A 24,501-nucleotide genomic window follows, 5' to 3' on the forward strand; every position below is an offset into this window, starting at 1 on the left:
TAAGTGTTTGACAAGTTAAGTACCCAATGGCATTGAGGTAAAGAGTTCAAAGGCTTCAGCTGCTCTGACCTGTCCCCTTTTCTGCTTTAGATTAAGTTATTCATGGGGACCTTTTGTTTTTTGCCATCTCACCCCCCAGGAAGGTATTTCCCAGCCCTCAGTGCAGGGCTTTAGGGCTACAGGCTTGAATCATTTTGACAAGACAGCAGGCAGAAGACATTGGAGATTCTAACTGCACATATGCGTAATTCCAAATGAAAATATAAGGGGTGGGCACTTTTCTGAATCTCCTAGAGAAACTGGAGGTGGTGGTTCAAATGATGTCAGAAAAGGCCACCATTGAATCCTTTGCTATCATTTGGAGGCTGTACTTTCCACAATGCTTGCCAGGACTTGATGTCAGGGAAGACTTTCAAGGAGCCTTGATTGCCAGCTATTGACGAAGGGGTCTGTCTGCTCAGTGGCAACCTCCATGGTGGTCTTGGCCAGACCAGCCTGCCCCTGACTCATGCTGAGCTTTGTCAGCCAGGTTGAAACGCCCCTCTTTGGGGCCCAGGACAACATGCTGGTTTCCCGGAAGCATCTGGGCCAAGACTCTGCTGCTAAGAAAATGATATTGTTTTTGCAAGCATGGGAGTGTGTTTAAAATGCTTCCCCTTTCCCCCCAACAACATTAAACCTCCATGCAAAGAAACACGAGGTTAAAAACCATCTCCCAAACCCAGAAAACAGAATGCAAAACCTGGGAGGTGAATTAACTCTTTACTGATGCCAAGGAGTTTATTTCAAAACAGGATTCATCGACTACAGGGATTTGCAGTCTGCCCTCCTGTGTGCCCACTGAGAGCAATGGGCAGAGGCTGACCCGCAGCCCTTTGTGGGGAAAAGTAAATTCCATGGCAGACCTCAGTGGCTGAAGATTATTTGCTTCTCCTGGAAATAATTAGAAAAATACTTACTCTTTGAAAGGCAACATCTGGCTGGCTAGAGGCAGGCTGGAAAATACTCAATCTAAATAGATGGAGGTGACGTTGTGCAGAAGGAAAGAAACATCCCGAGGGAGTGTCCAGTGGGTTTTAATGGCCGTGTCTAGAGAGGCACTCCTGCTCTGTACAAGGGCTGGCTTCTTCCCTGGATCTAGGGGTTGCCCCTGCCTTTTAGAAGACAGATGCACAGCCCCAGAGCCTAGTTGCCTCCCCTGACCCCCTCCAAGCCTTCCATAGAGGAAAGGGGCCTCCCATAGCACTGGCTGATGCTCAGAGCCAAGAGTTTGCTGCCCAGGGAGTACCTTGAGCTAGTGCTGGGTGTCAGACTTGACTTTCCAACTACTTCCAGTGCAATTCAAGGTGTTGATTTTGACTGCTGGAACTGTCTCTTCCTTCTCAGCCCTTTCTCAAGGCTGCCTGTGTGCTTGTTCTTATTAACCAAGCCCAGAAGCCAGGGATCTGGAAGCCTGGCAGTATTTCCAGGAAAGTAGCTTATTTCTCTCACTTGCTTCTCCCTGCTGAGCTTAGAACGGCCCAGCTTTGGACCTCTTGAAACATCAGGGCAAATTTTTCCCCCTCTTTCAATTTGCATCTACCTGCTGGTGAAAAAAGCAGAACAGCATCTTCATGGATTTATGAACGCTCAGAGTTTTTAAAATGTTTTATAGCTTGTAAGATATTTTCAAGTGAAGAATGCAGTTCTAATAAATCCAATGAACCTGTCACAGATTTTCTGAAACCAAGTGTCTATGAAAAACTATGGTGATGACATGTTGAAGGTGCTTATTGAAAAATATGGATCCTTGTAGCGAACATTTTTGCAAAGGGTGCATTTTCACATAAAAATGCTTTTAGTAGTGGCTTCGTTTAGTTATTCTGCAGCTACTTGGCTGTGGGTTCCCAGAGAGCCCTGAGGCAACCTTTATAAAAGGCCTAGGTTTGACTTCTCTTTGGTCACTTCAGCTTTAGAGCACCCTAAGAAGGCTCAGAGAACCCCAAATTTCTTCCCAGTAAAGAGGTCATGGAATAAATCTGGAGGAACTCAAGAGGGGCGCCTGCTTTTGAACAGTCATTAGCCAAACATGGGTAGATTCCTATTAATCATGTCAAGAGGGTACTTGGGAATCAAGTTCATGTGGAATTGGGAGATTAAAAGGGTTAGGAGTCCTTGGAGCCGTAAGACCCCTGAAGTTCCAACTATGCTACTTGCTTTCTGTGTAATCTTGGATAAGAAATCACTTGACCTTTCTGAGCCTTGATTTCCTTACCTGTAAAATGGGAATGCTAATCATTGTACTGCCCACCATACTGTCTTTTTATGTGAATCAACAAAGCCACATTTGTATTGGTGCTTTCTTTCCTTTCTTTTTTTTGAAATATGAGATGCTTCATGAATTTGCATATCATCTTTGTGCAAGGGACATGCTAATCTCTATTGTTTTAATTTTAGTATATGTGCTGCTGAAGTGAGCCCATATTGGCACTTTCTAAAGTGTAAGGTGCTGCGTCCACATTAGGCATTAAGATGATGGCTGCCTTTTTCACTTCACCCACCCCATTGCCTCCATTGTCAATGATGACGTTAACATATCATTGTTTCCCTACTCTTGAGCGGGGCTGCTTTCTATCTCACACTCTGACTCGGGTGTCTGATTTCTCCCATCACTCTGGCATTGACTCTGGGCTACCCTTAGGTGCTGCTCCCGATTTGGGAGCTGTGTGTGACCTTTGCTTTTCCTGCCTTCAGGTAAGATTTTCTCTTTCCAAACCTTTGTGCTGTGATACTGTCTAGGTTCCTGAATTTCTGTGACATCCTTTGATCTGTCATTTGCAATCTCCAGCTCTTTCCTACCTTTCAAGGGTGTGTGGTAAGCTTGGTGAGTGGGGAGCAGAGTGGAGCTGGGGATCCTGAGAAGGCAGTTCATTCATAGGGCTCTTTCTGTGCCTTCTTATGTCCTCCTCCCTCAGCCCAGACTCTGAGCCTTTCCCCAGGGCTCTAAGAAGATAGAAAAACTCGCAGAAGGTGTGGACCTTTTCTTTCTTTTCCTTTTTCTTTTTCTTTCTTTCTTTCTCTTTCTTTCTTTCTTTCTTTCTTTCTTTCTTTCTTTCCTTCTTTCTTTCTTTCTTTTTCTTTCTTTTCTTTTTCTTTCTTTTCTTTTTCTTTCTGTCTGTCCGTCTGTCTGTCTCTCTCTGTTTCTTTTTTTCCTAGTGGGGCTACAACTTATGCTTAATACAAATAAATGCCTTTTATTCATTTAATACAGATATTTACCAAGTACCCCCTGTGGGTCAGGCCCTACTCTCACCCTAAGGATACAGCAGGAAGCAAAGCAGAGGTGGAGAAGATCCCACTAAACACACAGGCAAGGCACATCAGTGGGTGATGAGCGCTAAGAGGAAGTATGGCCAGATGAGGTAGAGGGTGAGGATGGGGCGGAGAGAATCCTACCTGTTGGCAAAGCCTTTTCTACCAGATGGTCCAGGAAGATTTATCTGATAAGCAACAGGAGGGTGAGACCTGAAGGAGCCTCCAGATCAGGGCTGCCTGGGGGAAGGGCACTGTGAAGAGGGGACAGGGACGCTGAAGGCCCTAAGGCATGAAGCATAAGAGCAGGAGGCTGCTGGGTGTGTTCTGGGAACAGCAAGGAGGCCACAGTAGCTAGAGGGAGGGAGTGAGGGTGGGGGTTCTAAGAGAAGGAGGGCAGAGCATTCTGAACTTTACAGGCTGGCATAAGGGTTTTCATCTGATGGGAGTTAGAAGCCAGTTAAGGGTTCTGAGAAGGGTGGAGGCGAGTGGCTCAGCTAGGAGCCTAGTGAAGTAGCCTAGAACTTTCTGTGGAATTTGTTCTGCAATCATGCGAAGTGGCAGTGGCATGGTAACATGGGTAAGTGGTAGTGACTAGATCCTGAGATGGGAACTGAAAGCCTGGAGTGAATGTCTCAGGAAACCCGACACCCGTCTGGCCCAGAGGGTCCTTATTTCAAAACTGTGTTTAAAATGGCAAACACATGAGATCATGGTAATCAAACTTACATAAGTACTGTGCAAATCCAGAAAATTTGTAGTGAGTGTACTGAATTATTTGCCAATGATCAATAGTGCTGGGCTCTGAATGCAATCTGAAATAAAAATTGTTTTCCTGAATGTATTTATCAAAATACTGAGTGCTTACCAAATACTGGTGCTTACTGTACTAGTTGACCCGTACAATCAGTTTAAGTAAGCTAACTTAAATTTATGACTTTTGACTTATTCCTGATCTATTCACAGGCCGCTTGGAATGTTGGGCCATCTGTCCTTTTGACATGAATTTTCCCTGTAATGGGGGTAGAGCTGGTAACTGTTGGATCATCTGATTATTGGAGACAGAAGTCCTGTCACTTGCCCCTGCTGTTAGGAGGTGGGCTTCCTGAATGGCTTTCTGTATACATGAAGAATTTCAAGACCTTCCGTTAAGGTGGTCAGAGCTAAGTTTCAGCGTTTACAAGAGGTCTCTTGGCTGACTTGCTATAACTTACAGCAACCTGATGTTTGGACACCTTTTCCTTTTTTTGTTTTTAGTAAATATGATGAGAAAAAAGACTCCTCATCTGTTTTGTTTTATTTTGTGAATTACTTCTATTCTTACCACTCAAAAAAATGTTTAAATAAGTAATTGCGAAAAAATAGGGGGTTTTGCCAGGCACAGTGGCTCATGCCTGTAATTCCAGCACTTTGGAAGGATTCCCTCAATTTTTAGAGGGAAGGACTGCTTGAGACCAGGAGTTTGAGACCAGCCTGGGCAACATAGTGACAACCTGTCTCAACAAAAAAAATTTAAAAATAACCGGGCGTGGTGTGCATGCTTGTGGTCCCAGCTACTTGAGAGGCTGAGGCAGGAGGGTCACTTGACCTTGGGAAATTGAGGCTACCGTGAACTGTGATTGTGCCACCACACTACTTTGGCCTGGGCGACAGAGTGAGACCCTGTCTCAGAAAAAAGGCAGGGTGGTGGGGCTTGACAATTTGTTTAATATCTGAAAGTATTAGAAAAAATTATTCTCAATTTTTTTTTTTTTTTTTTGAGGCAGAGTTTCACTCTTTTTGCCTAGGCTGGAGTACAGTGGCATGATCTCGGCTCACTGCAACCTCCGTCTCCTGGGTTCAAGTGATTCTCCTGCCCCCGCCTCCTGAGTAGCTGGGATTACAGATGCCCACCACCACGCCTGGCTAATTTTTACATTTTTATTAGAGATGGGGTTTCACCATGTTGGACAGGGTGGTCTTGAACTCCTGACCTAAGGTGATCCACCTGTCTCAGCCTCCCAAAGTGCTGGCATTAGAGGTGTGAGCCACCGTTACCAGCAGAAAAAAAATTATTCTCTTTGGTATTTTCAAAATATGTGGCAGTGAGAGGGTGCAGTAAGTTAGGAGTTAAGTGACCTGACTAAATATCTGTGTTCTGCTGAAATCTTGCAGAAAGTGGGATGCTCAGGAAGAAAATAGTCTATCCCACGAAGCCATTTCCCACAAGCAGCTGAAGGCAGGGCACACCGTTATGTTTATTTTGGTAAAGGGAAAACAGAGTTAAGTTTCTCAGGGGCCCCAAACCTCAAGGATGATGAACACACACATTCATACACAGAAGTGACTTGCGTTGATAGACATCCTTATCTTGAATGCCTCACTCAGAGACAAATCTTTCCACAAATGTGCACTGCCCAGGTGAGCCTTTTGGAATCGGAGAATCAATTATTCAAGAATGTGACTTTTAAGCCCCAAAGCAAAGTTTGGACAGTTTTCCCAGAGCCAAACCTCTGGATATTAGTCCACTTTTCCGGGATAATATAATTTAATTTTAGTTTAGTTTTTTAGAGATGAGGTCTCCCTTTGTTGCCCAGGCTGGTCTTAAACTCCTGGCCTCAAGCAGTCCTTCCACCTTGGCCTCCTGAGCAGCTGGGACTACAGGCACACAGACCGCACCCAGCTCATTAGTGTCCTTTTCTGTCAATGAGCATAGGGGTTCGTAGACGCCCTTTTTATAAAGAGATACGTTCTTGAAATTGCCTTTAGGCCAGACACAGTGGCTCATGCCTGTAATCCCAGCACTTTGGGAGGCCGAGGCAGCGGGATGGATCACTTGAGGTCAGGAGTTTGAGACCAGCCTGGCCAACATGGCGAAACCTCATCTCTACTAAAAATACAAAAAAATTAGCCAGGCATGGTGGTGTGCGCCTGTAATCCAGCTACTCAGAAGGCTGAGGCAGGAGAATCGCTTGAACTCGGGAGGTGGAGGTTGCAGTGAGCCGAAATGGCACCACTGCACTCCAGCCTGGGTGAGACAGTGAGACTCTGTCACACACACACACACACACACACACACACACACACATTGCCTTTTGACTTCCTACCCTCAGGCATGTGTGCATTAATTGAGGACATTAGGAACTAACCACGTGCACACGCGTGTGTGCTGAGGGAACAAAAGGTCTGAAATCTGGTCCAGGGGAGAGTTGGCAAGGTAAGGCCTGGGGAAAGCAGGCTGGCAAGCTCAGGAAGCAGAGGGGCGCCATGCATTTGGAGACGTGTGAGTAGGTGCAGAGCCTGCGCAGGGGAGGCACATGGGCTGGAGATGTCTGGGGCCTGGTCTTGAATTCCATGCTGAGGAGATTGTGTTTTTATGCTGAAAGCAAAAGAAGAAACAAATCACTGAGTAATTTTTAGGCTGAAGTACAAATTTGAAAAGATGACGGTGGCCATGGGGAGAACAGGTTGGAGGAAAACAAGCCTGAAGACTGAGGATCAACTTAGAAGGCCACAGCTGTAATCCAATAGAGATATGCATATAGCTCTAATTAGGGCCATGGTGTCGGGATGGAGAAGTATGGCTGAGAGGTTTCAGGAGGCAGGGTCAACAGGAAGAAATCACTAACTGATGTTGTGTGAAAGGGGGAGGGAGAAGGTAGGATGCTTGCAGGTCCCGAGAGGGCGTGGAGTTGACTGATGCCATGTTCCATGTAAGTCAGGAGCTGTTAGGAAGAGTCAAGTCGGGCTGGGACTGATAGGACTTTTAGACATTTAGAAGCTGCTAAAACAAGAATAGAAGTTCTAAGTTGAGTCTAACCAGGGAGTTGTTCTTACCAGAAAAAAATAGAGAAATAAGTCCAATAAAACCACTGCTTGGTTTGAAAAATCAAGTGGGAAGGGAATGAAGAACAGGAATTTCTCTGCAGAGCATCTTCATCTGATGCCTCGTGTGAGGATCTCGCCCTTTCTGAGCCTGAGAGATGGCAACGATCCTTCTGTTCTGGAAGATTAAAGGCACAAGCCGTTAGCCCAGAAGGTACTTCAGCTGAGATGGTTTGGGGTTCTGACCAGTGAGGACTCACCACTTCAAGGAAGTGGAATCCTGTCTTAGTTCAGGGGATCATTTGCAGTGTGAGGGTCAGGCCCGAGGTAGCCTGGCCTAGGAAAGGAGGCAAGAGAGGACTGTGGAGTGAGACAGACTCCGTCAGGATCCTAGGTCTGTCAGTTGTCAGCTTCACAATCAAATTACTTGAAGTCATTGTCCTTCAGTTTTCTCATTTTACATGTCGTTAAGTAGATTAAATGTGAACCTAGGCAAAGTGCACAAAACAGTACCTGACTCATGATAGTTCCTCAGTAAACCCTAGTTCCTTAGTTGATATGGAGGATGGTTTATACCACCATTGGGCTGTATTTCCTACCCTTGGCCTTTTGACCTAAATGAGGCTTGATCCCTGGGGCTGACTGCCATCATCTCTCCTCTCTTCTATTCCATGTCGCTGGCTATGTCAGCAGATGGGAGAGTGTTCTGGAAGCTTTCCCATCACCACCTCTCTCTTTCTAGGCAGGCATTTTGGCTGTGTCTGTGTGGTCCCAACATGTGTACGTGTGTGTAGCAGGGAGGGAGGAGTGAGTATGAAGAGGTCCAATAACAACAATTGAGAAAGATAAAATAAATTCTTTCCACAATATCGGAGGCTATATTATCTGCTAAACTAGTTTTTCAAAATGCTAAACTTTTGCCTCTTAATTTTCTCATGCTTATGAGGAGTGCCCTTCAAATCTTGTATTAGTCAGGATGTAATTGTATCGCTTTAGCTTCTTTTCTCTCTTGCTAAAAAAATAAAATGCAATCCTTAATAAGAGACTGAAGTTCGTAACGTTTGTGTCTTGTCAGATTCAGTGGGGAAAAATCAGATTTGCTTGAAAACAAGATGATAAATATGTGGTGTTGGTGTTTTCATACAAGAATCTAAAGATAAGCTGTAACAGCTTAGAGAACATAATTGTTACTGTACCACAAAGACCAAGTTTTTTAAAAAATAACTTTTGAAGGTCTTACTAAAATTTATCACATTTATACCATGTTGGATGGTGATATTGGCCATGTTTTCTTAATATCAAAATATGACTAAAGAGTGTCATATGTTGGACTCCATCCACAGACACAGAGACTTTTCTGACATGAGCCGGTCTCTGAGTCTTCCTTTTTAGAATACGAGCTTATTTTCTCCAGAATCATCACAGCTGTCTAGAGCCTTCCTGTTCCTCCTTTCTTGGAGTCACTGCTGGCTTCATATTTGTTCACTTGGACGTTCTCTTGTATACCAACTGTGATCTCTCTGGGGAGTCAAAACCAGATCTGGTTTTCCTTGTCCTCAGGGAACTTGCAGTTTAGCTGTTCTGATATTTGTGCCATGCACTGTCCAGATGCCACTAGTTTTCTTTTTTTCTTTTTCTTTTTTTTTTTTTTGAGACAGAGCCTTGCTCTGTCACCCAGGCTGGAGTGCAATGGCGCAATCTCAGCTCACTGCAACCTCCACCTACCAGGTTCAAGCAATTCTCATGCTTCACCCTCCCAAGTATCTGGGATTACAGGTGTCCGCCACCATGCCAGGCTAATTTTTTGTATTTTTGGTAGAGATGAGGTTTCACCATTTTGGCCAGGCTGGTCTCCAACTCTTGACTTCAGGTGATCCACCCACCTCAGCCTCCCAAAGTGCTGGGATTACAGCATGAGCCACCGCACCTGGCCCAGATCTCACTAGTTTTTTTTTTTTCTTCCCCAATTCTCTTTTGATGTGGATAATTCCACTGGCCTTTGGCTCAGCTGCTGTATAGAGCTTCTTAATATCTTAAAAAACCTCACTGAGAGCCTTGGTGCTGTCTTCCACCCCTTTCCTAGTCCTGGAAGTTTACTTATTTTAAACAAGAGCATCAAATGCTTCTTGGAAAATTCCATCAGCGCTCATATTTTCTGTGTTTGCTGTCGATTATCTAGCATTCAAAGCCCCGCTAACGTTCAGAGCTTCTTGTTGTGTGACATTCGCAGGTTTCCTTTTGGGACAGGTTTGGATTGACTTCCTTCCTCTGCCAAGAGGGCAACCAGCTGATGACAGTTTGGAGAGTTTGTGTTGGCATCAGACGGGTGCTGGTGATGTGCCTGAAAGTCACTCCTGAGATTCTCGTTTATTTCTGTCCCAGGCTGGAGTTTCACAGGCAGTGGATGTTAGTGGGTGGCCCGAACCACCCTCATCCTAGCTGTAGACAGAGGCAGCTTCACTCAGCAGGGAGCCTTTTATCCTCAAGACCTTTTCTGTACAGATAAAACGCTCAGATAAGATCTGGAGAAAACCCTTTGTTCTTTGGTGGCTCTGCATCCTCTTTTCTCTTAAATGCTGTTCCTTACTCTGCTCTCCTCTGGCCTCTTTGGTGTGATTATCTTGATGTTCTCTGTATCTGTTAAGGGATGATTGTTGTCTGAGTAAATATGAGATGGCATCTTTGATTATCACATTTCCCAGGAACCTGGCTGATGCGGGACTCCTTTCTCAAACCTGCTTGTGAATGGATAGCCAGGCCCTGTTTGCCTTCCTCCACCTCATGGGGAACTCATTGTCTCCTGAAACAGCCTAGTTTATCTTGACGCATCTCTGTGAGAAAGCTCATTTCCCCCTTTCGATTGAAGTGGAGTTTGTGTCCCTGGCACATCTACTCTTTATTGGTTGTTCTAACCTTTGGAGCCACACAGACCAAGTTTAATCTTCTTTTCACATGACAACCATTCTGGTATTCATATGTGATGAGAGTTGATCATGCTTCCAGCTCTACTCCCCTCCTTCTGTACCCAGTGCCATCTCTTAGTATCTCAGTTTCTTTTTTTTTCTTTTTGAGACGGAATCTCACTGTCACCCAGGCTGGAGTACAGTGGCGCGATCTCGGCTCACTGCAACTTCTGCCTCCTGGGTTCAAGGGATTTCTCCTGCCTCAGCCTCCTGAGTAGCTGGGATGACAGGTGCGTGCCACCATGCCCGACTAATTTTTGTAGTTTTAGTAGAGATGGGGTTTCACCATGTTGGCCAGGCTGGTCTTGAACTCCTGACCCCGTGATCCACTCACCTTGGCCTCCCAAAGTGCTGGGATTAGGGCGTGAGCCACCACACCCGGCCTTCTTCTCCTTCTTTCTTTCTTTCTTTCTCTCTTTCTCTTTCTCTCTTTCTCTCTTCCTCTCTTCCTCCCTCCCTCCCTCCCTCCCTTCTTCCCTCCCTCCATTCCTCCTTCCCTCCTTCCTTCCTTCCTTTTGAGACAGGGTCTTGCTCTGTGGCCTATGCTGGAGTGCAGTGGCATGGTCAATCATGGCTCACTGCAGCCACAACCTCCTGGGCTCAAGCCATCCTCCGAGCTCAGCCTCCTGAGTAGCTGAGACTACAAGGTGCGCACCGCCATGCCTGGCAAATTTTTGTGAAGATGGGGGTTTTGCCCAGGGGTTGTCCCTAGGGGTTGCCCAGGCTAGTCTGGAACTTCTGGGCTCAGGCCATCCATCCCCCTCAGCCTCCCAAAGTGTTGGGATTATAGGCATGAGCCACCATGCCCGGCCAGCATCTCAGTAGGGAAACCACTCCTTCCTGGCCGCTCTTTTTTCTCTTTTCTTTTAAAAAATTAATCAACAGACATTTTATTTAGAAGATAAGCATAGCTAACTAGATTTCTTCCCATACCCACATTCAGTGATAAAAAGTAGATCAAATGCTTTTTGGATCCCTTTTGACCTTTTTGACAACAATGTTGCTGGGTAGATTTTTGTGGGAGTTCTCTACCATCGGGCACGCTTGGCTGCCACAGGGCAACTGCTTGGCCTTTTCATCCCCCAGTGTCGGCATCAGTTTTACAGGGAACATTCTGTGGCTCTTTCAAGGAGATGCCTCCAGAGCCCCATTTGCAGTCATATAAGTTGTGTTGTAGTACCCGGGGCTATGGATCTCATGAAGTTATTTGTAATATTCTAACAGAAATGAAAAGTCTTAAAGCCTCAAGTGACTTGAAGGCACTATGTGAAGAGAAGGTTTACTAAAGTGATCTGGATGTAATATAATCTGGCTGCTGTTTTTTGTAAACCAGACTCTTGGTGATCAGCCTCAAGCAGAGGGGGCTGCCTACATCAGCTGGGCATGGAGCTGATAGCAGCATCAGCAGGTTCCCTTTGCTAAGGGGGCTGCTGGGCTGGTGGCCCCTTCATCCTTTGGGCTCCCTGCATGTTCCTCAGAGGCTCCGAAGAAGGCAGACGGGGCTGGCCGTCCATCACAGGCAGATTTGAACAGGGAATCTAATGTCAGCCCCACAATAAGAGCAGGTTTCTTCCAAATCTGAGAGTCGAGGATCCCATCTTGTATTTACTCAGTAACAGTCATCCCTTTATGTATACACAGAAAATCAAGATAATCGCACCAAAGATAAGCATAGAGGTGAGTGCAGTGAGGAACAGTACTTGTGTGAAGAGACAGACTTTTGAGATAGCTGTGTGGAGTTGTTCTGGGTTCAAGGGGAGTCTGCAGTGTGGTTAACTGCCCTGCCCTGTTGAAACTAGATATATCATTTCCAGAGGTCACCGTGGTGTTTGCCAATTATCTCACAGTGAATTTGTCACCTGTGTTCCTCACACTTTTTTAAAACCAAAACAACAACAACAACAACAAACCAACAAAAACAATCCACCAAAACCAAGATTTGCTTTCACGTCTCATCCACCCTACAATCAAATGATTGGTTTCTTAGGCCGAGGTTAGGGTTAGGGGCTTCAAATTCTCCTTATTAAACCTCATTTTTGTTAGACTTGATCCATGATTCCAGCCTGCTGATCTGTTTGGCTCCTGAACTCTCATATATTGCATTGTCTATGTTTCCGAAGTTGTAGTGGTTAAGGACACAGGCTTTGGGGGTGAGAGAGAATGGGCATAAATCCCATTCCACCACTTAGTGGGTTGTGTGGTTTTGGGTAAAGGCACAATGAAGAATCTTCTGGGGCATTTCACGGAGCAGATGAATGGTGTCTTATGGAACCCATGGCAGGAGGCAGCAGCCTTGGGAAGGTAGAACTCGGACAACTGAGATCAAATACATCTCCTTATCTCATCTCAGCTTCGGTCTGAACATTTAAGTCCTTTTTCTTTTCTTCCTGGAGGCTGACTCTTCCATCTGCATGATAGGCATAACAGTGTCTCTCCAAAGATGCCCAATTCCTAATCCTGGAATCTGTGACTATGCCATCTTGCACAGCAAAAAGGATATGCTTAATTTAAGGACCTTGAGCTGGGGAGATTATCCTGCATTATTTAGGATAATCACAAGAGTCCTTATATGGGAGACAGGGAGGCAGGAAAGTTGGAATCCAAGAAGGAGATGTGACAATGGAAGCAAAGCCAGAGAAGATGCTACGCTGCTGGCGTTGAAGATGGAGGAAGGGACCAAGAGCTGAGAAATGCAGGTGGCCTCTAGAAGCAGGAAGAGGCAAGGAGACAGAGTCTCCCTAAAATGAGGAATGCAGCCCTGTTGCCCCTTGATTATTTGAATCATTTTAAGCCACTAAATTGCCAAAAGATTCCTTCCCTTAAAAGTCTTCCAGATTCTACCCACCCTCTTGCAGTAATGAGCTCCCCACCTATCTCTGAGCCCCATTTGGAGGCAGGGTTGTTCCTGCTTTCACATGTCCTCCATCACTCTTGTCTCCCTCAGTGCCTGGCACGGGCCCAACGTAGAGCATGTTCTTGGTAAATGTCTGTGGAACCAAAGCCCCCAAGGGAAAGCTGATGATGCCTTTCAGAAATCCAGCTGCATGATTACAGTTCTTTGGGCTCCTTCTGTAGTAGCTCTGCCAGAAAAGGGAACAAGGTTAGTTTCTCCTGATTTTTTCCCAGCGAACCTCCAGTGGGATTAGAGATGGCGGCTGCTTCCCTGAGTTTCCCTTTGCCGGCCGTGGGATCCCTGCTCTGGGGCCTCCGTGTTGTGAATGCACCTCCTCTCTGAGACTGAACCGCTGTCTCTGTAGTCCTCAAATATCAGAGGTTGGGTTGAAAAAACCCACAGAAATACAGTTTTGAGGCCTTCTAGTTCTTGAGTGTACTACAATTGAAAAGGTACTTCCACATTGCTGATCCCTTTTAGTCCCTGTGGTAGCCCCTTGAAGCAGCCACCCTCTTTTCGATTTGCTCAGTGTTTTTTTTTTTTTTTTTTAAATTGTAAGGATGAGTGTAACAACTTCTAGCCTCTTTACATGTAGGGTTGGAAACCGACCATTCCTTTATTTTTTGTTCAGAGTTGCAGGTTGGTAACTTGCCCAAAGTCTCACTGCTTGTTTAGGCAGAAGAGGTTTCTGTTCCCAGTGCTGTTGGAACCTCAGCTCACCACCTCTTCAAAGTCGTCAGGAACATTCTCATTTTCCTCTAAGATCCCTGGCTAGACCTTTGCATCCTGCTCTTCCTTCTACTTAAGCCAGCATCCTCTCCTGACCCCTCTATCCCTGCTGTTAAGATAGCCTTCTTGGTGTCAGGGCCTACAGCTGCCTGCAGCCATCTTGCTTCTGTTTTGAATTTGTGTTGCTCCAGGAAGGCCTCCAGATTGGCATGCTGCTCTCAGAAGGCACTTGGTATCACAGTGTCCTAGGAACTTGTCTCTACTGCTGGGGTGCACACACAGATGCTTTAGTCAGTGCTGGAGTGTTGGTTACCTGGAAACTGCATCCTCAGCCTTCTTTCTCTTCATAATCCTCTACAGGTGGTCCCCAACCTACAAACCAGATGAGTTCTAACAGCTTATTTTGCAGTTAGTTGATTGTTTGGAGTTAGGCTGCATCTTCCTGAGGATTCAGTGTCATGAATGGTGGTTAGGTTCTAGGCCCCCAACCAACATCTATTCCAGAGTTCAGCTACAATAGTAGCTGTTGTATAGCTGAACTCTGGAGTCATGAAGAGAATGGTCTTTGGACTCAGACAGGCCTTGATGACTTCTGATTCTGCTCTATCTGGGTGACCCTGGGCAAGTGATTTAACCACTGAGCCTCAGTTGCTTCACCTGCAAAATGGTGTTAATTAATACTTACCTGGCGGGGTTGCTGAACAGTGAATATAAGGTGTTTAACATAGTACTTAGCACTTGGTAAATGCTCAGTATTATTTATTACTGCACTATTACGTATCTAGTTTGTTTAATAGCACTAAATACCTAATTGTTTATACTGCCCTTTCTTCCTTTCCTTTCCTTTCTTTTCTTTCTTTCTTTCTTACAGAGTCTTACCCAGGCTGGAGTGCAGTGGTGGGATCTTAGCTCACTGCAGCCTCCATCTCCTGGGTTCAAGCAATTCTCATGCCTCAGCCTCCCGAGTAGCTGGGATTACAGGCGTGTGCCACCACACCCAGCTAATTTTTGTATTTTTAGTAGAGATGGGGTTTTGCCATGTTGGCCAGGCTGGTCTTGAACTCCTGGCCTCAGGTGATCCACCTGCCTTGGCCTCCTAAAATGCTGGGATTTTAGGCATGAGCCACTGCACCCAGCCTATTGTGCCATTTCTGTGGGTAAACTGACTCCAAGGTCAAATGCTACATTAGTCACTCAGAATTGAAATAGTGCTTTTTTTTTTTTTTCCTTCTGGGGATTTCAGATTGCTGGGGAAAAGGAGTCTCTCTCGTTCATTTATTCATTCAATTCATAAGCAATTGCATTATGCCAGATATACTGGGGGGAAAAGGTGAGCAAAAGCCAATATAGCCCCTGTTCTCATGGATGTTACAGATGGATGATGGAGACAAATATTAATTAAAACAAAAATCATCTAAATGTGAAAATACAGCTGCTGTGAAGGAGAGGTGATGGGAAAGGGTCTAGGGAGGTGTTTCCTGGGTATTTGATGGATCTCTGGATTGGTTCTTTGTCATTGGGTGGCAGACACTGTCTTCAGCTAAGTGGCTCAGAGCTTTGACAGCATTGACTTTGCATACGAACAGGGGTGGAGGTGGCTTGAGCCTTTGGGGGTTGGTAGTAGAAGCAGCAGTCCAAGTTGTCTGAGATGTTGGGGACACCATCAGGGACACCTAAGTGGCGGGTTAAGGGGGAAGCATTTACAAGAGAGGAGTAGCTGGGAAGAGGCATTGCTGGGGAGGAGAGGAGGCTTCTTGTCTGTGGATCAGGGATGCTGGGTTCTCAGGTGGTGCTTATTAAGGAGTGTTTTAACTTGGCTACCCCTTGTTTTCAGCCAAAATAACACCCCAGTCCATATTTCCTGCCACTGTGGCTTCCTATGGCTAAACAAGCGTAATGAATATCTTGTTCCATATAATTGCCTCCATCTCATGCCTCATTTTTTGGTACTCATTTCTTGCTCTCAATTCCTTTCTGTTTCTCTTTTTTTCTCTCCTATTCGGTTTCTCCCGTTCTGCTCTGTGATTAATCAGTTCGGTTTTTCATCCAATTATCATGTCTGTCTTGGAGAAGCATGTTTCCTGGGGAAGGTTGGTCTACCATGGTTGCCCAGCTCTCTGCCTGCTCCTTCTTCCTTCTGTAAGATGGCAGTTTGCTGTATTTTTAGCCCTCTAGTTCTACTCTTTGGCTTGTGGGAAACTGTCCACAGCTCATAAATTATCACCACATTGCTCATAATCACACCCTACCTTGTCTAGTCCCCTGAGCTTGGAGACTTACTGGGCTTCTCTTTATGTACCTGTGATGTGATGCTGTGTGTTCACGGGCCCAGGGAGATGTTTGCCCTGTTCTTCCTGGCAGAAGAAGAGCAGTGTTCTGAGACCTGACCAGCATGTGTGCCCGGTGACCTATTGAATGATGTGAGTTTCTCTGCGCTGGCCGTCCGACATGCCAGAGCTGGCGGGTGAGTCGGGAGTTGGACATGCAGCCCTGGAGTGACCACACTGACTGCGTCAGTGGGTTTCACTGCCTGGTGCCTTTTTTTTTTTTGAGACAGAGTCTTGCTCTGTCGCTCAGGCTGGTGTGCAGTGGCGCAATCTCGGCTCACTGCAACCTCCGCCTCCCGGATTCAAGCAATTCTCCTTCCTGCCTCAGCCTCCTGAGTAACTGGGATTACAGGCATGCGCCACCACGCCCGGCTAATTTTTGTATTTTTAGTAGAGACGGGGTTTCACCATGTTGGTCAGGCTGGTCTCAAATTCCTGACCTTGTGATCCACCTGCCTCGGCCTCCCAAAGTGCTGACAGTAAGGCGTGAGCCACCGCGCCTGGCCTCCCTTTTCTTGACATTGCTTTAAAAAAAACCCTTTAATTTTAGAATAGCTTTAGACTGATAAGGAAATTGCAAAGATCATACAGAAACTACACCCAATTTCCCCTATTATCAATATCATGCAATTGGTTTGCCATAATTAATGAAACATTTTTGATAAATTATTATTAGCTAGAGTCCACACTTTATCCCGATTTTCTTAGTTTTATTTAATGTCCTTTTTCTGTTGCCTGATCCCATCCAGGATACTACATTTAGTTGTCATGTCTTGGCTGTGATGCTTTGAGATATTCCTTGTTTTTGATGACCTTGACAGTTTTGAAGGGTATTGGTTGGGTATTTGCTAGGATTGGAATTTGTCTGATATTTTTCTCATGATTAGACTGCGATTAGGAAGTCCCATTATGGGGCTTCTATGTGGGAGGAAGACCACAGAGATAAAGCACCCTTCTCATCAAAGGACATATCAACATGATTTATCACTACTGATATTGATCTTGATAAAGCATGTGCTTGGCTCAATCAGTGTCTGCCAGGTTTCTCCACTGTGAAGTTATTCTTTTCCCCCTCTTTCTATACTCTAGCTTCTGTGAGGAAGTCACTATGTGCAGCCCACACATAAGAAGTGAGGAGTTATGTTCCCTGTCCTCTGGGGCAGGTTATCTAAATAAATTATTTGGAATTCTGCATGGGTGAGTTGTCTGCTCTTCCCCATTTATGTATTTATTTAGTTATAAGTGTGGATTCATGGATATTTATTTTATACTTTGAGTTATCCAACACTATTTTTTGGGCCATTGGGAGATCTTTTAGTTGGCTCCTGTGTCCCTTTGATATACCTTAATCATTGTGGGTAATTTTGGTTCCTTTTTTAAGTACTTGTTTAATTTCTGGCACTGTAGGATACTCCAGGCTCATCTTGTATATTTCCTGCCCTAGTCTTAGAAGAATAAGCCATTTATTCAAAGAACCCTGCTTCCTTTTATTGGAGAACTTGTTGGTATTAGAGACCAAGATCTGGGTGCTAGGTACTCATTGATACTGGAGTACTGTTGTTTCTAGGTGCTCTCAGCCAAAAGAGCAAGAAAACATAGATGTGTACACTAGCCTGTGTATATAGACATGTTTATAAATATTCCTATATGTAACCATCTACAAATCAGGTGAAACATGAGTTCATACTGATGTCTCCACTTTCATCAATTAACCACATGGGTCATTCTAACCTCCTCCCCTTGCATGTCTATAACTTCTCACTCCAGCAGTAAGCAGACTCCCACCACCTGGCATCTATTTACTTAATTGTTCAATTCCACTATACACATATAGTGGTTTCGGAATCGTTAATGCATTCCTCTATGGGAAACAACTTTATCAACTATAGTAAAATACTTATGTACAGTACCTTTGCCTTTGGTCTTACAGATTCCACTCATTTCTGGAGTTATTTAGTTCAGCATGTTTTTCTATCACCTCCTTCTGTGAAGTTGTTTCATATAATTTTTAATGCAGTTAGATTCTTTTTAGTCTGATGACTCTTGAAAAGAGATAAATGAGCAGGAAGATAAAGACTCAGCCATTAGGGAACTAAGTTAGAAAAAGCTTGTGAACAATTCGTTTTCTATCTGCTGAATGTTTGGTGGCTCCATGCTGCTGGATGATGATATTGTACTATTTTCCCATCCCCTTGCTTTTATTCCCATCCATTTGCTATGGGCTGAATGTGTCCTCACAAAATTCATATTAGAGGTTAAAATCCTAACTCCCAAGGTTACGGTATTTGAAGATGGGATCTTTGGGAGGTAATTAGGGTTAGATTAGGTCATGAGGATGGGGCCCTTAAAATGAGATTATTGGCTTTATAAGAAGAGGAAGAGTGAGAGAGATTATCTGTGTGCTCTTACCAAGGAAAGGCCGTGTGAGAACATAGCAAGAAGACAGCTACCTGCAAGCCAGGAAGAGAGCCCTCACCAGGAACTGAATTGACTGGCACCTTGGTCTTGGACTTCTTACCTCAAGAACTGTGAGAAATATATTTCTGTTGTTTAAGCCACTCAGTCTGTGGTATTTTGTCATAGCAGCCCAAGCTGACTGATACACCATTATATATAGAAAAAGTATAGACATCCCTGTGCTGTGGAGAGGCTCTTAAACCAAATTTCCTAATTCGTTTTCTACCCTTAAACACCGAAAGGAACCCTCTTTCCTCCTGGCTTAGGAGATCCTGGGCTTAGGAGATCTGTTCAGGTAATGTTCTTGGTGGTGCATTTAGATGTAAGAGCTCCAGGTTAAGGGTCTGACAAGACACTTTTGGCTAAAACAAGCGTTAGGATTGGGAGAATGTTTCTCAGTGGAAACAGTATAATCACCTAACTGAAGGAAAAAATGGCCCCTTTCCCCAAATATTCTGAGCCTGCTTTAGAGCAGGAGAGCCCACTTTTACAGCAGGAAACACCCTGAGAAGGAAGTAGAGAATGGTGACGTCAGTGGCCCTGGATCTGGGTCCCGTCCCTGCTCTTCAGTATGCAGAGCTGTCAGGCGTCGTGTGCTCCTGTGTAGAGTGTCAGGGGTCGTGTGCTCCTGTGTGGACAGGGACAGCAGCAGGGTCCTGCCTGAGATCATGAATATGGATGTGAGTGATTGTTCCCAGGCCTAAGTGAAAGGCTTTCTTGAGGCAGATTTTTCTCTGGGATGCTGATTGTGAGTTTTTAATGTCTCCCCTTTCGTTATTCAGTGTTCTTGGCTTCTTTAGATTGATCATCATGTCTTCTGCCTACAAATATCTGCTCATATTTTACAAGCAGAGAAGTGACTGGAGCTGTAACCAGCCTAGCTGACCAAATGAAGTCCATGTGGGGCCCTGTCATTTATATGGGTGATTAAAACAAAAACAAAAAACCCTTAAACCCTGCCAGAGGGTAATTTTTCATGGTCTGCCTTTTATGTTTCTTCCTTTTTTCTCTTCAGTTTTTTTCTCCTTTCCTTGCAGTTATTTTTTTTTTTTCTTTTATTGCCTGTTTCATTTCACAACCTGGCACTATTCTGGTAGAAATGTCTGCTTCCTGCCACCCTCAGGAAGTCAGAGAACAGGGTAAATTTGTCCAGGGCTTCACCCCATGATTTCTAATGGTGTGACTCAAGGCTCCCATGGGAGAGATCTACCCAGGAAAATAAATTGTGTGTTGGTTTTTAATACAAGAACCTTCATAAACTGAGCTCCTAGGAGAAAATGAAGACATTTAAATACTCTTCTCTTTTTGCAGTTTGCTCTGTGGTCATCAGTTAACCACCCAAATGGAAGTGCATGTGTTAATGTTCAACAGTGGGTTAATGTCTGGAGGATGGTTTTGGACAGCATAGTTCGGAGCAGGTTAATGTTTAATGTAAAAGTACTTAGATGAGTACTTGGTACATAGTAAGAGTGTTTAAGAGTTAATTACATTATTATTATTATTGCAAACTAAAAATTGCTCCCAGGTTGCATGTTGTGAGATAGTAAGGCGAAGGTGAGGCACCTAGTGTCAGTATTGGCTTTAGGTGGAAGAAAATAAACTGGAATTGCTATTGTTGCATTACTGGTGTAAGAAAAGTGGTGATGGACATGGAAATAGATCCCAGAGCAGAGGTTTGGGCCTGAAAATTTGGAACTAGGAAGTTTGAAAGTGACTCATCTAAGGGAAGGCAGGGGTGTGTTAGATGGTCCCCAAAAGCCTTTTTGCCTTGAGAATGTGATTTTATGTAAGTTCCCCTCCACCTGGAGTAGTTTGGGGGTAGAAGGTAGGCATGAATGGCTATGGGGGTTCTGTAGAGGAGAGGGAGAAGAAGTGACTCTTTTTGTCTGGTTTGGATTCTCTTATCAATGTTTTTGCCGGCATTCCCAGGATAAGGAGGTATTTCCATATGCTTCTGCAACTGGTTTTTGTTAAACACAGACCATACCTCTTCAGCTGATCGTGTCACACCCTTAGGGGCTCAGCTGAACTCAGACAACAGGCAACAGCCAGAGGAAGGAAAAAAGTAATAGTCCATAAAATTAGGTAATGGTCCTGCTCAGAAATATTTGAGCATAAATACCAGGTTATATCTTTTTATTTGTACCCCCAACCCCCATGGCTGTAAACACATCCCTGGAGAGAGGAAATAAATGTAGCAGATTTCATACTGGGCTGAAGGGGAAGAGTGTGGGATGGGTATCTGTTTTATGAGACAGCCTTTTTTTTAACGTTAATTTCTGCATGATTAACATCCCTTGAAAGAGTTATTTTTCCTCCATTCTTTTGTTAGCCCATTCTGGTCCAGCTTCCATGCCTTCCACTCTGACATCAAAGTTCTTGCTAAGGTCATGTTCCATCTGCATCCCGTCTTGTGCAATGATGCTCCAGTCTTTGCCTGCTTAATGGTAGCCTTTGGCTTACCTGACCCCTCCTTCCTTCTTGCATCCCCAGCTTCTCTGGGCTTCTGGGATGCCAGGCTCTCCAGATTTCCTCGCATCCCCCTGGTCGCTCCTTCTCAGTTGTCTGTGTCTGCTTCTCCTCTTTTCCCTGTCTTCTTAGTGTTGGCCTGCTAGAGCATAGATCCTCATTCTGAATGTGGGAAAAGCAGATGATGATTCATTGGATCTCGGGTGGAATCCACGATTCTGCATCTCTCATGTGCTGCCAGGCGATGCTGTTGCTGCGGGGCTGCAGAGCCACCGCAGCTCGGTGCTGGAGCTCCATCCTCGCTTCTCCATCTATGTGACTTCCTAGCTGAGCTCCTCCAGTCCCCGGCTTTAAGTCACACCTCGAATCTTATTGGTGACTTCTCGCCCCACTTGGGTCAAAACCCAGAGTTATATTCAGGCCCACGACACCCTGTGGGTTTGGCTCCTGCCCACTCCTCTGCCCTTAGCTGCTCTGCCCTCCGCGTCTCCCACTGGGCTCTGGCCAAGTCTGCCTTCCCACTGATTCTTCGATTTGTCTAGCACGTTTCTCCTTCCTGAGCTCTAAACTTGTTGTTCTCTCTACCTGGCACTCACACGGCTTAGATCTCATCTTCTCTTTCAAAGCAAATATTCCCTTCCCAGCGAGGGCTTCCTTAACTGTCTATCTAGAATGGACCTTCACTACCACCACCATCACCTCGCTGTCACCTACCCCAGTTCATTTTCTTACCATGCTATGTGAGTTTCTTATTCATCCTCACTCTCCCTACCAGAGTGTGGGTTCTGTGGGAAAAAGGACCTTGTCTCCCCATCTAACTGCTGTAGAAGAGTGACTAGCATAGTAATAGGATCTTGGTAAGAACTTGTTAGTAATTACATAAAGCATTAGTATCAGCATGTCCCAGATGAGCTGATGAGCACAGATACTACCACGCCATTCCAGTGTCTGTGTTTTTAATGGTTTGGGTATCGGGTTATATTATTGTAAGTATCATGAACTAGTGGAAAGAACCAAGATGGACAGAACACATAAACGATGCCCTTACACCCCATGAAGACCCAACAGTTTTATGGCAAACTAGAGAAATGAAGGTTTCATAGTTGTTTGAATAAAAAAAGGTGGTAGAAAATTGAGGCATCTCATTGTACAAGGTAGGTAACATCTGTGCAATGAAATCATGACTTGCACTATTGAAGTCCCTGTTCACACCATATAAGGTGATACAGTTTCAGCAAAATGATCATCCTACATATTAATGTTGTGAATTGGAATTATATTGGCTTTGTAATTGCATTTGTATTTAATGTGCAGATGTTTTGGTATTGATGGTAATATAAGAACTATAATCGTTTTATATTTGTACATTTTATGAGAAACATTAAGTGAACACTAAGAATCGTTGAGATTTTTTTTTCTTTAGAGGCATCTTTACATTATACAGGCTTGTGAAAGACTAAAATAGGAACTAAGCAAGATTGAAGGTGTGGCTGAGGACAGGGAAAGGAAAAAGTTTTAAATTCCAAAACTGCTTGTAGGAAGCTATTTTTAACAAAATAAGAATAATAGGCTGGGCGTGGTGGCTCGTGCTTATAGTCCCACCTACTTGGGAGCCTGAGGCAGGAGGATCCCTTGAGCCCAGGAGTTGGAGGTTGCAGTGAGCTATGATCTCACCAGTGCATTCCCACCTGGGTGATGGAGCAATACCCTGTCTCAAAAATAAAAATAAGAAAAAAATAAAAAGACGCTGAGTGGGCTATCAAATTTTAGCATGCTTTCAAGAGAGTGAAATTTTAAAATATCTACATTCAGGCCAGGTGCACTGGCTCACGCCTTGTAATCTCAGCACTTTGGGAGGCCAAGGTGGGCGGATCACTTGAGGTCAGGAGTTTGAGATCAGCCTGGCCAACATGGTGAAACCATCTCTACTAAAAATACAAAAATTAGCCAGGCATGGTGGCATGTGCCTGTAGTCCCAGCTACTTGGGAGGCTGAGGTGGGAGAATCGCTTGAACCTGGGAGATAGAGATTGCAATGAGCTGAGGCTGTGCCACTGCACTCTAGCCTGGGTGACAGAGCAAGAGCCTGTCTCAAAAAAAAAAAAAAAAAAATCCGCATTCATATGAATACACAAGTTGTACTGACAAACCCTAAAAGGTTAAAATATATTATCCTTTTTTTGTTTATATAATTAAAACTTCAATTTTGGATTACCAGTCTAATTTCTGGTTATTGAAAAATGTAAATTGTGAAACTTTTCTTGCTGGAGACATCTATATATTATAAAATATTTAAATATAAAAATAATGGAGTAATGGAGTAGATGGCCTTTACTCACCAATTCTAGGGCCTGGCTTAGGAAGGTATGTAGGCAGGGACCCCCCTCCCCCGCCACAATTCTAACTTGTGCCCCAGGCCCTCCTCCTTTCTTCTGGCTCCTGGAGATCAGAGAGGAAGGGATTCTGCACTTAAGAAATGGCGCTAAGAAGAAGAAGACACATTCTTTTTTTTTTTGAGACAGGGTCTTGCTCTGTCACCCAGACTGGAGTACAGGGGCATGATCTCGGCTCACTGCAACCTCTGCCTCCCAGGTTCAAGGGATTCTCCTGCCTCAGCCTCCTGAGTAGCTGGGATTACAGGTGCACACTGCTATGCCTGGCTAATTTTTGTATTTTTAGTAGAGACAGGGTTTCACCATGTTGAACAGGCTGGTCTTGAACTCCTGACCTCAAGTGATCCACCTGCCTAGGCCTCCCAAAGCGCTGGGATTACAGGCATGAGCCACCACACCAGGCCACATTTTTTTTTTTTTTTTAAAGACAGGTTCTCTCTCTGTTGCCCAGGCTGGATTATAGTAGTGCAATCATGGCTCACTGCAGCCTCAACCTCCCAGGCTCAGGTGATCCTCCCACCTCAGCTTCCTGAATAGCTGAGACTACAGGCATGTGTCTCCATGCTTGGCTATTTTTTTTTTTTTTTTTTGTATTTTTTGTAGAGACAAGGTTTTGCCATGTTGCCCAGGCTGGTCTTGAACTCCTGGGGTAAAGTGATCCGCCTGCCTCAGCCTCCCAAAGTGTTGGGATTACAGGGATGAGATACAGCTACTGGCCAGGAGACACATTCATGCTTTGAAAGGAGACATGAATGGTCCTTCTCCCTCACACATTTCCTTTGAGTGTATGTGTTTGTTTCTACCCAGTTCATTTCCACATATAATTTGAGGCTAACAGAGCCATCTATATAGATCTGTGATGCCAGGGAGCCTGGGGCAGAAGATGAAGGCTGGAATGGGGTGAGGGTGCTTTAGGAAGGAGAGAGGGAGCTAAGGGCCACAGCACTGCTTGCAGTGTCTAAATGAATGGCCGTTCTGCAAGTACCTGAGGGGCTGGTGAGAGCAAGGCACAGCGTGTTTGGGGTGACTTTAGGATTTGGGTTTGGGTAGTCCCCCTTCCCCTGCTGCCCATCTGAGAGAATTCTGGGGAGGAAGGTCTTACTGGGGCATGAGGTCCCTGGTGTCATCAACTTTGCAGGTAACAGCTGTCTTGAACAACAACAGAGAACCTGAATT

At 44.8% G+C, this 24,501-nt stretch overlaps 1 protein-coding gene and 1 pseudogene across 22 annotated transcripts in view; one reads left to right on the forward strand and one right to left on the reverse strand.

Annotated features, from left to right (window-relative positions):
- The window catches only part of CGNL1 (cingulin like 1), a 174,213-nt gene that overhangs the window by 26,211 nt on the left and 123,501 nt on the right, over positions 1-24,501 (forward strand). For 5 of the 22 annotated variants that reach the window (XM_047433180.1, XM_047433190.1, XM_047433178.1 and 2 more), the window contains one exon: positions 18,421-18,535. The exons of 8 other annotated variants lie outside the window; for them this stretch is intronic. The gene's annotated coding sequence lies outside the window, so the exon portion shown is untranslated. Of the gene's footprint in view, positions 1-18; positions 2,734-3,250; positions 4,388-18,420; positions 18,536-18,615; positions 19,145-24,501 lie in introns of those variants that run through there. 9 more of the 22 variants (XM_047433182.1, XM_047433181.1, XM_047433191.1 and 6 more) reach the window with 6 other exon arrangements.
- On the reverse strand, positions 2,359-2,460 carry RNU6-844P (RNA, U6 small nuclear 844, pseudogene; annotated as a pseudogene).

Source organism: Homo sapiens, chromosome 15 (assembly GCF_000001405.40).
Source record: "Homo sapiens chromosome 15, GRCh38.p14 Primary Assembly".
NCBI classification, from domain to species: domain Eukaryota; kingdom Metazoa; phylum Chordata; class Mammalia; order Primates; family Hominidae; genus Homo; species Homo sapiens.